The sequence below is a fragment of the Homo sapiens genome, chromosome 10, assembly GCF_000001405.40.
Source record: "Homo sapiens chromosome 10, GRCh38.p14 Primary Assembly".
Taxonomy (NCBI): Eukaryota; Metazoa; Chordata; class Mammalia; order Primates; family Hominidae; genus Homo; species Homo sapiens.
In genome coordinates this window covers 83,561,643-83,576,888 of record NC_000010.11, presented here as the reverse complement: position 1 = coordinate 83,576,888, position 15,246 = coordinate 83,561,643, and the positions used below count along the sequence as shown (strand labels likewise).

Sequence of the window (15,246 nt, the reverse complement as noted above, 5' to 3'; positions counted from 1 at the left end):
AATAATTTTTGGCTAAGGTCCAAAGAGCAATTACAACAAAAACAAAATTGGCAAGTGGGATCTAAGTAAACTAAAGAGCTTCTGCACAGCAAAAGGAACAATCAACAGAGTATATAGACAACCTACAGAATGGGAGAAAATATTCCCAAGCTATGCATCTGACAAAGGTCTAATATCTAGAATTTATGAGGAACTTAACCCAACAAATGAAAAACAAATAGCCCCATTAAAAAATGGCAAAGGAGGCTGGGCACGGTGGCTCACACTTATAATCCCAGCACTTTGGGAGGCCAAGGCGGGTGGATCACCTGAGGTCAGGAGTTTGAGACCAGCCCGGCCAACGTGGCAAAACCCCATCTCTACTAAAAATACAAAAATTAGCTGGACCAGGTGGCACATGCCTGTAGTCCCAGCTACTCAGGAGGCTGAGGCAGAAGAATCTCTTGAACCTAGTGGGGCAGAGGTTGCAGTGAGCCGAGATCTCACCACTGCACTCCAGCCTGGGTGACAGAGCGAGACATCATCTCAAAAAAAAAAAAAAAAAAAAATAGGCAAAGGATATGAACAGATACTTCTCAAAAGATTTACAAGTGACCAAGAAACATATGAAAAAATGCTCAATATCAGCAATCATCAGAGAAATGCAAATCAAACCACAATGAGATTCATCTCACACCAGTCAGAATGGTTATTATTGAAAAGACAAAAAAACAACAGATGCTAGCTAGGATGCAGAGAAAAGGGAATGCTTATACACTGTTGATGGGAATATAAATTAGTTCAGCCACTGTTGAAAGCAGTTTGGAGATTTCTCAAAGAATTTAAAGCAGAGCTACTATTTGACCCAGCAATCTCATTACCAGGTATATACCTCAAAAATAGATCATTAGACTAGAAAAACACATGCACCTGTATGTTCATTGCTGCACTATTCACAATAGCAAAGACATGGAATTATCTTAGGTGCCCATACGTTGTTGGTTGGATAAAGAAAATGTAGTACATATACATCATGGAATACTACACAGCTATAAACAAGAATGAAATCATGTCCTTTGCAGCAACATGGATGCAGTTCGAGGCCATAATCCCAAGTGAATTACTGCAGGTACAGAACACCAAATGCTGCATGTTCGCACTTATAACAGGGAGCTAAACATTGAGCACCCATTGCCATAAACAAGGGAACAATAGATACTGCAGACTACTAGGGGTGGGGGGAAGTAAGAGGGGAATGGGTCGAAATATTATCTATTCGAGTACTATTCTCACTACCTTGGTGCGATATGCTCATGGAACAAATCTGCACATATATTCACTGTACCTAAAATAAAATTTAAAAACAAAAACAAAACAAAATAATGATTAAATAAAATAAAATAAAATAACATTTTGAAATTTAACATTTTGATGCAAATAATAAAATATCTCATACTTTTCTAATCTCAATATCTGTGGCTTAATCATATTAATCATTCCTGCTATGTATTTATTATCATTCTTATTCTTTATACTTGATTAGATAATCTAGTGGTTTTTTAAACCAATTATTTAAAGACCAAGTACTTGAATTTATTATGATTTTTTTTTCCATTTTTAGTTCAGTACTGTTTACTTTTAACTATATTGACATAATTTATGTATATTACTATATTTATCCTACTTTTTTATTCTTCTTTGTCATTTATGTATCATTTTAAGTTGAATGTCTATTTTTTAATAAAAGCAAAGTCTGTGAATTTGACTATTAATGGAGATGAAAATGTATTAGAAAAAGCTAATAATAAAATAGGATGGTTATAACAATATACTGTATTAAAATTTATGTGAATGTGGTCTGTCTCACACACACACACACTCTCCTTCAAAATATCTTATTGTACTATACTCACCTATTTCAGACCTTGATTGACCACAGATAACTGAAACCAGAAAAAGCAGAAAAGTGGTTACAGCTAAGAGGAAACAACTGTAAAATATTGTAGCTCGAGCCACCATTGAGATGTTTGTTTCCAAATCTAGCATAGAATAATAGAAAAAAAGGTCACATTTTTCTAATCATCAGAATTTTTCTTGGAACAAAAATATAGGGAATGCTATAGAATGCTGAGAACAAAGAAATGTACATCCATGGCAATTACATGCATGTGGAATTGACACTTCTAGACCTGTAATATAAGCTGTTGCACACAATTAATAGCAGAAATTCCAACATAGTTAAAAAATTTATAACACATGGCCAAATGCACAGATAATTTTTGATCTTTAAATGGAGACCAGGTTCCATATACCCAACTTATTTTGTAGGGACACTAGGCACAACATTCCAGCCATTCACATGAACAACCATAAAAAGGACAAAACATTCAACTTGCTTGAACTGTGATAGGTGTGACTTTAGTAGAATTTTACTCATCAGGAGTGGAAGAAAATAGCTAAGAGTTGTGGAAAAAAAATTGAAGAATATGAAATTTGAGATTAAACTGATCTAAGTTTGAATCTCTGCTCTTTGCTTTTTTGGCCATGAGACACTGAAAAAATATTGAGCATCCCTGGGTCTTAGTTTCTCATTTGTAAAATGCAACTGATAATACATCTTTTAGGGTCACTGTGGAAAATATAGTAATGTATGTATAGCACTTGGCACAATCCTGGCATACACTAGGTGTTCACAAAATGGAGAAATACAACTGTATGGATCTAAGGTACTAGAGCATTTTGTGAGTTTCTTATTTTTATTTTGTGTAAACTTGAGTTTCACATTATATATTATCATTCTTTGGAACAACATTTTCATGCTGAAATTTCATTACATATGTAAATCTGAGTTATTTTTCTCTACCTCCCAACATAATTAGTGCTTTGCCAAGTCACTAATTACAGAATTAGCAAAAACAGCTGGTTTAAATCAAATCATCAATGGAAGTTAAGGTGAGGAATAGCAATGTCAGAACAGCATTGATTTGAACAACAGACAAGCATGCCATGTTTAACCTTCAAGCTCAGATCGCACCGTTAGAAAATCCACCATTGATGCTAATTGGGAAGAAGAGAAAATCAAATAATGCATTTGCTGAGTGGAAAAAAAATAGATCAGCATTATTGGGCAATGACCCTCTTCAAATAAATTGTGTTAACACTATTTAGAGTCTATGAAGCCAAAAGCTCAAGGTCTTTAAAAGGTGAACAGTTACTCTCAAACAATCAAACTGTGCATATAGCCAACAACCACTGAGTCTCTACTAATTGCAGGTACCGTCCCTGTGTGATGGGAAGGCACCTGGGAGCCTGATCTCTAGAGATGCTAGGGTAGTGTCAAGCTCATTATTTCATTGGCTACGGAGAAGAAAGACACCATTTTTTTCTAGTTCATAGAAATATAGGAGAAAGACTTGAGGCAATTAATTCTTAAATGACAAAAGATCTAGTTTTATTTTTATATTCTTTCTCATGGACTTTCGTTCCTCCTATTTACCCTTAGATTGAAGAAGTCTTTCCTCTCCAAATGCCCATGAGCCTAGAAATAAATGACAATAACTCTGCATTTAGCAGGATGTTGGGAAAGTAAACCAGAAGAATAACAGATTAAGAATCTCACCTTAATGACAGGGCCTCAAGAATATACTGACATGTCTAGAGATGGGTAGCTGTCAGATTAATTTGGGGCTCAGTGCCAGAGACAGTTCATGGAGACTAGATCAGTTGGTTAGAGATACACTCCAGAATTTCTTCTATGATGTAGACTCCTAAAGAGTTGTAACACAATGCTTGAATCTGGAGTGAAAAGTTTGTGATGGTGAATTTTACGTGTCAACTTGACTGGACCATAGGATATCCAGGCATTTAGCCAAGCATTATTCTGGGTGTGTTTGTGAGGGTATTTCTGAATAAGATTAACATTTTAATGATGGCCTGCATAAAGGAGATTGCCCACTCTAATGTGGGTTGGCCTTATCCAGTTCATGGAGGGTGTGAATAGAACAAGAAGCTGACCCTGTAAGTAAAGGAAAACTCCTCCCTGACTGCTCCAGGTGGGCCATTGGTTTTTTTCTTGCTTTCAGACTTAGATTGAAACTTGCCCTTCTTGGATCTTGAGCCCTAAAGCTTTCAGGCTGGGACTTATACCATTAGCTCTCTTGGTTCTCAGGCCTTTGGACTCAGACTGAAACTACATCATCATCTCTCCTGGTTCTCCAGCTTGGCGATTGAGAATCTTGAGAATTGTTAGCCACCATATTCACTTGGGCAAATTCCTTATAATAAAATCTGTGTATGTATGTGTGTGTGTGTGTGTATGTGTGTGTATGTGAGATCTATTGATTGATCTTTCTCTTTCTTTCTCTCTTTCTTTCTGTCTTTCTCTCTTTCTTTCTTTCTTTTTCTTTCTTCATCTCTCTGCCTACCTACCTATCTATCATCTATGTGTCTATCTATCTATCTTATTTGGAGAACCCTGACTAACACAGTGACTCCCTTAGTTACCTATATAAGAGCCAATCCTAAAATAATACTAATACCATTTTTTCCATGCCATCTTTCCTTTACACCATGATGGGTTACACTTACAATATCTCATAATCTTCATAACTATCATGTGAAATAGTTGCTATTGTCACTTGCAAGTGGGAAAGGAGAAGTCCAAGGGGTCACGTGACTTCCCAGAACCACATAGCAACTAAGTAAGAGTAAAGATTCAAATCCTTGGCTATACATTTTATTTTGCTGCCCTCAACATTAACTGTCAGCCCACAAATGGCCTTCTTCCCTCTCTTTCCTCTCCACTACCATTTCTTTATTTTTCAAAATTGATTATTTTAAAAAATAATCAAATCTGTAACTGTTCTTATAATTTTTTAACTTTCAGAAATCAATTCTTCCCAACTTTTCCCCCTAAGTACTTTTGGCAGTACTGAGCTCTGTAAATGATGTCATTATAGTGGACATTATTACATTCCACCCATATCCTTTTTCAAGACTGAAAGACTTATTTTTCCCTCTGCAGGAAAGGCAGCTTCTCATAGGCAGTGCTCAGCATCCACACTTTTTGGGAATTGACTTACCTAAGGAGAGTTGACTTCCATGGTTGTACCTTCTTCTCATGGTAACCTGCATGGAGTAACTGGTTCATATAATGGTATAATGGTTTGAGCCTTTTGTCCCAGTGCAGGACAATTCTGAAGCACCAGGCCATTTTTAGAGGTCTGAGTGAAATAAGCTGAGACCTTGATTGAGACTTCACTGCAGCCCAACTTCTCTCTTCTCCCAATTGGCCTCCATAGATATCAATCCCAAGAACACATTCTAGTGAACCTCCTATATTTTAATCTCTATCTTGGAGTTTGTTTTCCAGGGAACACAACCTGCAAGAGTCATGGTGATATAAATTGATCAAATAGGAAACACTGTTATCCTTGGGGTTTCCTCAGTTTAGTGCTCTGTATAGAGTATGCCATATAATGTAGGAATTGAGAATCTTGAAAGAACAGAGAGCAGGTGAAGGCACAGGGCTACGTTTGTCAACAGACCTCTGTAGCAAGTGTTTGGGAACAAGGTAACTACTATTTCTACGTATTCAGAATTTTTATTTATGTTAGAATTATTATTTTTTATTTTGAGAAAAGTCTTGCTCTGTCACCCAGGCTGGAGTGCAGTGGCATGATCTCGGCTCACTGCAACCTCCACTTCCCAGGTTCAAGGGATTCTCCTGTCTCAGCCTCCCAGGTATCTGGGACTATAGGCATGCATCACCAGGCCCAACTAATTGTTTTGTACTTTAAGTAGACATGGGGTTTCACCATGTTGGTCAGGCTGGTTTTGAGCTCCTGACCTCAAATGATCCTCCCACCTCGCCCTCCTAAAGTGCTGGGATTACAGGCGTGAGCCACAGCACCGGCCTATGTTAGAATATTTAATTTCCAAAGTAACTCTGTATAGCAGTTATAAATCTACTTATATTACAGACAAGGAGACGGAGACTTAGAGACAAAATATTTCACTTAAATCAGACATTGGTTATGCTGTGCATATTATACAATTGATCACCCAACCCCCACTTTGAGTTATGCACAGATAATGAAAGGGGAAAATGTAGTTACTCGTTAGACTTCCATCATAGGTTTTGGCTACTGTTTTTTTCTGTGCCTCTGAATCCTTGATTAATACATAATGCAGGTGATGACAGAAATGAAGACGGTGGAGAAAACATCTATCATCTAGTGAGAAGAGGGCAGAGACAAACAAGGAGTCCCTTTTGTTTATCTTCCAGAACAAATAACTAACTATAATCTATTTTAGATTATTGAAAAACAGATTTATGTTTTGTTTCATTTTCTTTGTATCTTTTTAAGAGCCCACTTAGTAAGACAAAAGCCAGATTAGAACTCCAACAGTGCACACACACACACACACACACACACACACACACACAAAAGAGGGAGATAGATTTGGAATGTGTGTGTGTGTATACAATTACATATGTACAATTTGGCAAACATGCACACACACTTGTCAGGCACAGCTTTGGTAAACATTTGGGACCATAGGCACTACTAAGGGCAGTCAATGTGCTGATGACAAAAGATGAAAAGGACAGAATCTGCTCCTAAAACACAATGCTACCAGAAAGATGGCTAACCCCCATCACTACCAAAAACTGTCTCAATTGCTCTATTAGAAGTACGTTCAGATTGTTGTGGGATGATTAAATCTAATTTGGAAAATTGAAAAGGCACTACTAAGAAGAGGACATTTAAATTGGATCTTGAGAGATGAGAAGGAGTTTCCCAGATGAAGAATAATGTAAACACCATTTTGGAGCGAAAAAAATCATAGCAATAACTGCCTAGAGAAGGAGATGGGTCAGACTATGGCATGCCATTTATAATACAACAAGTTGGATTCTAGACTGAAGGCAATAGGGTTTCCTCAAAAGTAATCTTTCTCCATTATCTCACCGAAGACCTAGCATGGTAAGATCTTGTTTTAGAATGATGGTTTTAGCAATAGAGTGGAGGAAAGGTTATATATTGGGGATTATGGAGAAAAGAGATCATAGAGTTTTCTAAGAATTCTAATTTACTGCTCTTTGCTTTATGTTCCTAACACAACTCAAGTCTGCATCGTGACAGTGGCAGAAAAATTACAACAGCAACTTGTAAGGGTTGAAAGATATCAAATTCTTGTGCCACACAAAACTTGAGGCAGCTATCTCCTTTTATTCTCTCTATATTATTAACATCAAAACTTGATGCTGTTTTGTTGCAATTGCAGTTAAGCATGCTAGAGTTTGAACATGCTGGGACATTTACCCTTAAAAGAATCATTTAGCCTTGGTTATGGTGGAATTTCAGGGTAGGAATAGTCCCAGTGCTTCAGAATTTAAATTCTTTCTGTAGCATCCCTAACAAGTGTATTGTGCTGGATGAGATACAAGAAGTGTTCCTCCTTATTTCCCCAGAAAGTCCATTTATTCACAGAACTCCAATTGTTGAAAGTCGCTGTCTCACATTGAACCAGCATCTTTAAACATATAGTTTCTAGTTCTACATCTTGGAGACAAACAGTTCAGAGGAATTGCAAATTCTCACATAATAGCATCTGGGGTACCATTGTCCTTGGCTCTCTTCTCTTTCCACATGTTTTTTCCCTCAAGGCTTATGCACACTTATGGTCCTACATTCCGTACTAGATTATGATTACCAATCCACATCTCCAACCGGGCTCTCTTTCTGATCTCCAACATACTATATCCAATTCTCCTCTGTAATCTTCCGCTTGAATGTCTCCTACATAAGTTCCAAATGTTCAAAATTGGGCCACTCTTTCCCCTTCCTCAATGTGTTCATGTACCTCTTTGCCTTACCTTAGTGGATGGTCACCCAAACTACACCCAGTCATCTATTTGGTGACCTGATCTACAAATCTGGCACGTATCATTGATAGATGCTCTTTCAGCTTTAATGTGCATAAAAATCTGGGTGTGAATGCTTTTAAAAATGTTAATTATGACTTAGTTGCTTTCATTTTTAGTGACCTTCCAGATGATGCCAACATTCCTCAGACCATACTTTGAGTAGCAAGGTCCTAGACATATCCTTGTCTTTTAGTTGTACATAGATCTTAGTATCTGGTGAAGAAATCACAGGCTTTGGAATTAGATAGCTCTGAGTTTAAATTATGAATCTGATCAATAATAGTAATGTGTCCCTGAAAAAACCATTTAACCTCTGTGCTGCAGACTTCCACTTAAAATGAGGATGACCTGTCTCGTAGGGTTCTTAAATTCTGTGAAGTAGGTAAAATGCATAGCTCAGCATCTGTCATGCTGTAGAGACTCAAAAATGCAACTTTCCTGTGCTTTTCAAATCTGTAGCTTAATAAAAATAAATTGCTATTTATTAATTGGCAAGATTTCCTTAAGGGAAAGAGGCTTAGTCTTTATTATAATGAACTCCAGGCTGTACTGAATTGAGGTTTCAGTGACCTGATTGGAAGAGGAACTCAGATCAGGTAACATTCTGTGATCCAGGACACAAGTTGAGCTGTCCACAAGAGAAGTAGTTTCCCTCTGAGAAGGAGCACTGTGACCCTGTTCTTGAATCAACTCTGTATGTGCTCTTAAAAGCTAATGACCATTGTGTTAAATCTGTGGGTTTCTGTGGCCATTGTCCTGATTAGGAAGGAAATTCTGAGGTCCCACCTGATGATCTCTCCATGATTCCCACAGAGGTATGTGGTGCCCTGGTGGCTGGACTGTGAAGAAGGCCAATCAGGAGAGAAGAAACTGAAGCTAGTTGAAAGATTGAGTGAGGATCAAAATCTAAGCCTTCATAAGCAACATAGATTAGTGTTTACAACCATGAAATTAACAGTCCATTGAAATAACTGGACAAGTAACAGATTTCAACATAGATGGAGCTAAAAGGAGATAGCACATAAGAACCACATATAACACAATATTAGGTGATAAGAGAAAGTTTTCTGAAGGAATGGATGGTATGTCATTCAGCAGTATTTCATTTAAAATGTGTTCATGTTAATATATAGATATCATAAACTTTATTTGTATCTGTAGCAAAGCATTCCATGATAAAGATATATCATAGTTTATTCAATGTTGTTCCATCAGTGGATTTTTATAAAAATTTCAAAATATTTTATCATAAGCAATGCTGCCCTAAATAATTTTGCATTCCTCCATGTGGATCTGTTTCTTTAGGAGTATACAGTAGATTTGAAAGAACTAAACTGTGAATTTCATTTTTAATTAACACAAAATGGAAATCTAAAATTCAGCTATGAGTATTATTTTTTACCATACTATCTCTTTATATTATAAATACTTTTTAAATATTTGATAATCTAATGATAAATATATCTCTCCTTTTTATTTTCTTTTATAAATTCTTTGTTGATATCCTTTGCCTATTTTCTGCAAGATTGTTTGGTATACTTTAGGCATTCGGGATACTATTTTCTTGTCCATTATACATGTTGATTGGTTCTATCAAATCTTTTTCTATTGAAGTTTTTGATTTTCAGAAAAGGAACTTTTGATATTGTTGATCAATTCTACCTTTTATTTTCCATTTTGTTATTTTTTGCTAATATTTTACCACTAATTTCCATCATCTAATATTTGTTGTTCATTTTGTTGCTATTTTTCTATCTTATTAAGCTAAAAAATAGTTACTTCACTTTTTATATTCTTTTCCTAGTGAATATGTCATTTTGGTTGTTTATATATAGTACAGTTATTTTTATCAATTTAAAACCAGTTTTAATTTCTATTTGATTTCAAATTTAACTTAATTATTTAAAATGATTTAAAAAATGTTCCAGGATAATAGATGTTTTCGCTCTTCTTTTTCACTTACTATTTAATTAACAACATCTTGACATTTTCTTCAGTACACAGGTTTATTTTAATCTACTTGGAAATTATCAGGCCTAATGCATCATCAGTTCTTTTTAATAATTCAAGCTTTTTAAAAATTGTGTTCTTTGTAAAATAAAAAGATCAATATTTATTGAATCAAGCATATCTACTGTATTATTCAAATCATTTTTCTTCAAGAAAGCATGCTTAAATTTGCCATTTATCTTATTTTTTGCATGTATAGATTTAGGGGGTACAAATGCAGTTTTGTTACATGGATATATTGCATCATGGTAAAGTCTGGGATTTTAGCATACATCACTCAAATAGTGTATATTGTACCCACTAAGTAATTTCTTATCCTTCATTTGCCTATATCTACCCATTATTTAGTTCCCACTTAGTTGCACAGTCACATCTAACTGTAAGGAGGAAGGCTGGGAAATGAAGTCTAACTGTGCCATTAAGGAGGGTAAAATAAACCATGAATTATAGCCATTAATACTGTTTCTTCGTTGGGAAGTTTTATTTTTCCATTTTTTCTAACAATTATCATCTTTACATCATGGAACATAGTTATGGTGGCTTCCTTATTTGTTTTTTTTCTTAACCAGCTTGGTTTATCAAATATGATAGCTTCTCTAAAGTCTTTTTTCATAATTTTAGCAGTTGTGTCATCTCAGGGTGTGCACCTGCTGAATATTAGATTTTGCTAATTCATTGTATAATGAGTAATTTGGGATTATGTCCTGGATATTTTGAATAATATGCTATGAGACCCTGGGTCCTTTAAAAACTCTTCTGGAGAATATTGATTTTGGTTTGTTTTAGCACGTTGTCAATCTGGAGGAGACAGTGTCCTGAGCCCTGACCTATCAGTATTGGTGGTGGTAGGGAGGGTATCTTGGTAAACTAGTGTCCAGGGACTTGCTAGCTTAAAGAAGCCAAGACAGCCCCACCCATAAGTGATTCTCTCTAAGAACTGAACTGTTATCTCTGTGTGCTGATTAGCTCAATCTAGAAAGAAATTAGATTAATCTAGCCTGAGTCAGGACCCCTCCGTCTAAGCATGTGTATCAGGAGTTGGGATGTTATTCTCCATAGCCTTCTCCGTGGATGTAGGAGTGGATGCTCTGAGAAGGGCCAGCCACCTTGGTGTATATGTTCACAAAACCTCTTCCACTTGCTGTGTTGTTTTCCTTGTCTTGCCTAGCTATCCTCTCTTCCCATTGCCTGCCATGCCACTACATGGGCATTAATCTTTTCTGACTGAATCTTCTAAAATGTCTTATAAACCCAGAACAGTTATCAACAGGCTTTACCCTTGTTTGCTGTATTTTTGTCAGTTTCATCTGTGTAACAAATCTACCCATAAACCAATGATTTTGAAATGATAGGCTGCATCTCCTGCATCAAATGTTTTTCAAATTAACCCTTTAATGGTAAATTTTACATAAAATAAAGGCACCCATTTGCTGTATACAGTCGGTACGTTTTTTGTTTGTTGAGACAGGGTCTCACTATACCTACCAGGCTGGAGTGCAATGGCAATTCACCTGCGTGTTCATACCTCATTGCAGCCTCAAATTCCCAGGCTCAAGCGATCCTCAGTTCGGCAAGTTCTAACAAACGTAAGCACCAACTTAAATAAGATAGAACTGTTTCCATCATCCAAAAGGAAGGCTGGTGTTGCCTGATTGGCGGCGGCAGGCAGGAGTCTGAGGGACCTGCTTGATGAGGGCTCCACAGGCCCAGGGCTGGGCCTCGCCCGTGCCTTTGACCCTTGGCGCATTTTCTTCGTGCCCTTTGCTGGCGCGCTCTATGTCATGCGTCCAGTGGTGCGTCACAAGCATGCGACAGACAGTGCATGCTGGCCTCGGAGGAGGAGAGGGCAGCTGGGATACCTCTGCGAGTTTCCCTCAGCACTCCGAGAGCCGCGGAAGGCGCAAACTGCTCTTGTGACCTCCCCAGTAAGCTGCGCCTCTGCCGTGCCTTCTCCTTGCTTGCTGTGTTCCGCGGTCTGGCCCGCATCACCCCGCTGCCCTGAGCCGAGCCTGCCCTCGGCCCGTTCACCAACTGTTAAACCAGGGTCCTGAGTCTACAGGTTCTAGGTTTGGCTTCACCCCTGAGAGCAGTGTCCCATGCAGCAGGCTCAGTGCTCCTCTCCGCGGAGCCTTCCTTTGGTGTCTTGGCGCCTCTCTCACAAGAAGCCAGCGCTGTTTGTTGGCAACAAGATTCTTTGCCACTCAGAAACAATCAAGATTCCTCCTCCAGGGCACGAATGGACTTGACTGTCTTTGCCTGGTGAACTGCCATCCAGGATCCCCCACCCACACATTTTTGACCATTCAAAAATGAGCTGAGAGCCCTAGGAGAGTGCCAGGAAGGCCTAGCAAAACAGGAGGACGGTAAGAGAAGCGGTCCCACATACAGTGGGAGTGTACCATTATCATTTAGGCCTCTGGACACCACCGGAGTCCTCACTTTCTTCAGCGTAATTTTGAGCCTCTGACGGGAAATCTCAATTCCAAATTCCCAGAAGACGGCGTTGGTAAGAAAGGAGTGCTGGATGAAGACTGTGGACCCAGGAGCTCCTTCACCAAAGGCGGCCCCATCACCAGCTCATACAGCCCTGCTGGTGGTGTTCTGCGCATTTGCAGAGTGATCCAGGTGCAGCAGGGCTCTCTGCCTATGGCATCGTGCTGCCTGCTGCTCAAGAGATGGGCACAGGAAGTGCTAGAAGCGGCCATGGGTCCAGCTCCCCAGCCTTGCTGAGCCAGGGAAGAAGATGCAGAGAAAAAGCTTCCAAAGACACGGTCAAGGTAAAAACCCTCAGAGATGATTATGAAGATCTCTATGCATACAAACTAGAAAACCTAGAAGAAATGGATAAATTCCTGGAAACATAAAACCTCCCAAGTTTGAACCAGGAAGAAATTGAAACCCTAAACAAAGACTCCATCAAGGAAGAATTCTCCACCCACATCTTGAGTTGAAGGCCTTGTAAATGGAAAATGTCAAGGCTGTTAATGCTGCCCGGGCTGCTGCTGTCTGCCACTGCTCCTTTGCCGTAAGTGTTTTTGTATAATTGTTGCTGGCACCTGAGCTTCGAGAAGAAAGCTGAGTACCAATGGAAAATTATCCCCTTGGAGGATAAAACAGTCCATCTTGGACTACAGTGCCACTCAGACCCCCTGTGCTTTCTCTCTGTCTTCAGAAGAGACTGCACACTCCCTGCCCTCAGCCACTTTCATTTGCAGATTCCAGCTGTAGGCACATTCTCAATTACTGACTTGCCTGACCTGCTTGCCAGGCCCCAATCCTGTCTGCCTCTCTACCTACCCCCACACCAGATATCGATTGTGTAATAAAATGCACAATTCCTAACTTTCCTTCTCTTGTTCTCCCCGTGGATCTCTTTCTTTAAGTTCAAGCCCATATTTGGGAAATTCACTTAGGAACAAGCATCGAAGCCCTTTGCATTCATATCTTTCCAGTTATACATGCTGGGTCTTCTGATTTTGACTTCCCTGTACCTTCTAGCACCTCAACCCTTCCTTCAAGTCTTTGACAGCAAAGAGTCACCTACACCTATGTGTGTGGATTCTCCACCTTACTCATGCAGACCCCTCCACCAGACTTCTGCCAGTATCCCCTACTTTACCAGCCATTCCATCTCTGCTTTCCCAGTCACTTCTACCCCTGCAGCCAGCGCATCTGCAAATTTGACCCACCAGTCAGCTTTGGACATTGGTGTGACTAGCATGAACGCCATTCCCCGCTAAGCTGCTTCTTCGGGTCTCCTTCAGGCTCTGGGATGAACTTGGGCTCCCTCCCATTTGACCAGGTCATTTGTAATGTGGAGCAGATATCCCCAGCTTATATGCATTCATGGTCAACAGCCCCACCCCAACTTTCAGCCTTTTCTTTGGCGCAGGAGTCACCCTTCAGCCCATATTTGGGTTCCCTGATGGGGGCTAGTCAGGAGTCATTCTCCCCAGTGACCCTATCTGTACTGGCCTACCTAGCACAGCTTTCCAGAAGCCTCCACTCCAGTAGTCAGCACCTCTGTAGATTCTACATCCAAGCCTGCCTTTGATGCTGATGGAACTGATATACATACCATGCCCCCTCCCCAGATTTCCCTTTTCCCATCATATCTTCTGCAGTCTTCAGTGAGAGCTTCTTTCCGTTTTCCATGGTGCTTCCTTGTTCTGAGAACATTCCACCCAGTATCAGCATTACTTCCGCCTTAGCACCCACCCGCTGCCTGTACAGTCAGTCAGTGGCTCAGCTGCAAGTTTTAGCTTTTCCTTTGCTCCAGGAGCCACCTCTCAGTCCAGAGTTGGGTTCCCTAGTAAGTTGCAGCCTGAAGCCACCAGCTGTGATGGCTCTTTCTCAACAAAAGCTTCAGACTTAACCTCCTTGCAGCACAGCCCCCTACTGGTCACATAACTCCATCTGAGGGTTTGCCTTCCCAATATTCCACCTTTGGCATCCCTGACATTACCTAGCTGGCATTTGATGACATCCCAGATATTTTCCCCATTGGCTTAGTTACTACTTCTAGCTCTAGAGTCTAATCAGGATGCCTAGCAGTCGCCTTTAGCCAACACCACTGCAGACCCATTTACTTTTACAGGATCCATATCCCCTGTGGGTAGTGGCAGCTTTGGGGTAAGCGTGGCTGCCTCATGCTCCAGCTCTGCATCTGGAGCACTCAGCTTGCTTGAGGACTGAGGAGGACACCCAGCACTACTACTCTTGTTGATGAGTCTTAACTTGAGCATCATGTTCTATCCCCTGTTACAGCTGGAAAGGCCAACTCTACAGAAAGCAAATCTGCCCTGGGGGACCGTTTTCTTCCTGCTTATGGTCAGAAGCCCCTTCCCTATCATTCAAAGCATACCAGTTACTATGGGAGAAGACAATAACACTAAGAAAAAACAGGTGCCAGAGGAGACAATGCTGTTTCTCCTTGTCGCAGATCACTGGGGACATTTGTGATCAGAGCACATCTACAGCTAGAAGGGACACCACCATACCGGTATTTGGAAATACTTATCTTCCCACTTTTTGTTGGAATACCTGGGGATCCCTGGCTAATGCCTGAGTAGAACATATCTGACAGTGTACCTATGCTTGAAGGTACCACTATTCTTGCGTACACTTAGAGCACCCGGGGCTCACCTATCCAGAGCACAGGTAGTGAATAGGAACAGTCAGCACCACACCTGTGCTGGGAGATACTACTGTTCCCGGCAACATTCAGAGCATGTGGAGAGCTTATGGCCAGAGCACATCTGTTGCAGTCATAGGAGAAAATGCCCTACAGTTTTAGGGGATTCTTCTAGTCTCACCTAGGTCAG

At 39.8% G+C, this 15,246-nt stretch overlaps 2 annotated features.

Moving 5' to 3' along the window:
* Positions 11,351-11,850: an enhancer, noted in NCBI's record as "H3K4me1 hESC enhancer chr10:85324795-85325294 (GRCh37/hg19 assembly coordinates)". NCBI's record gives its function as "activates a minimal SCP1, AML or CMV promoter by ChIP-STARR-seq in naive H9 embryonic stem cells {active_cell/tissue: H9 hESC(naive)}" and the evidence as "EXISTENCE:reporter gene assay evidence [ECO:0000049][PMID:30033119]".
* Positions 11,851-12,352: an enhancer, noted in NCBI's record as "H3K4me1 hESC enhancer chr10:85324293-85324794 (GRCh37/hg19 assembly coordinates)". NCBI's record gives its function as "activates a minimal SCP1, AML or CMV promoter by ChIP-STARR-seq in naive H9 embryonic stem cells {active_cell/tissue: H9 hESC(naive)}" and the evidence as "EXISTENCE:reporter gene assay evidence [ECO:0000049][PMID:30033119]".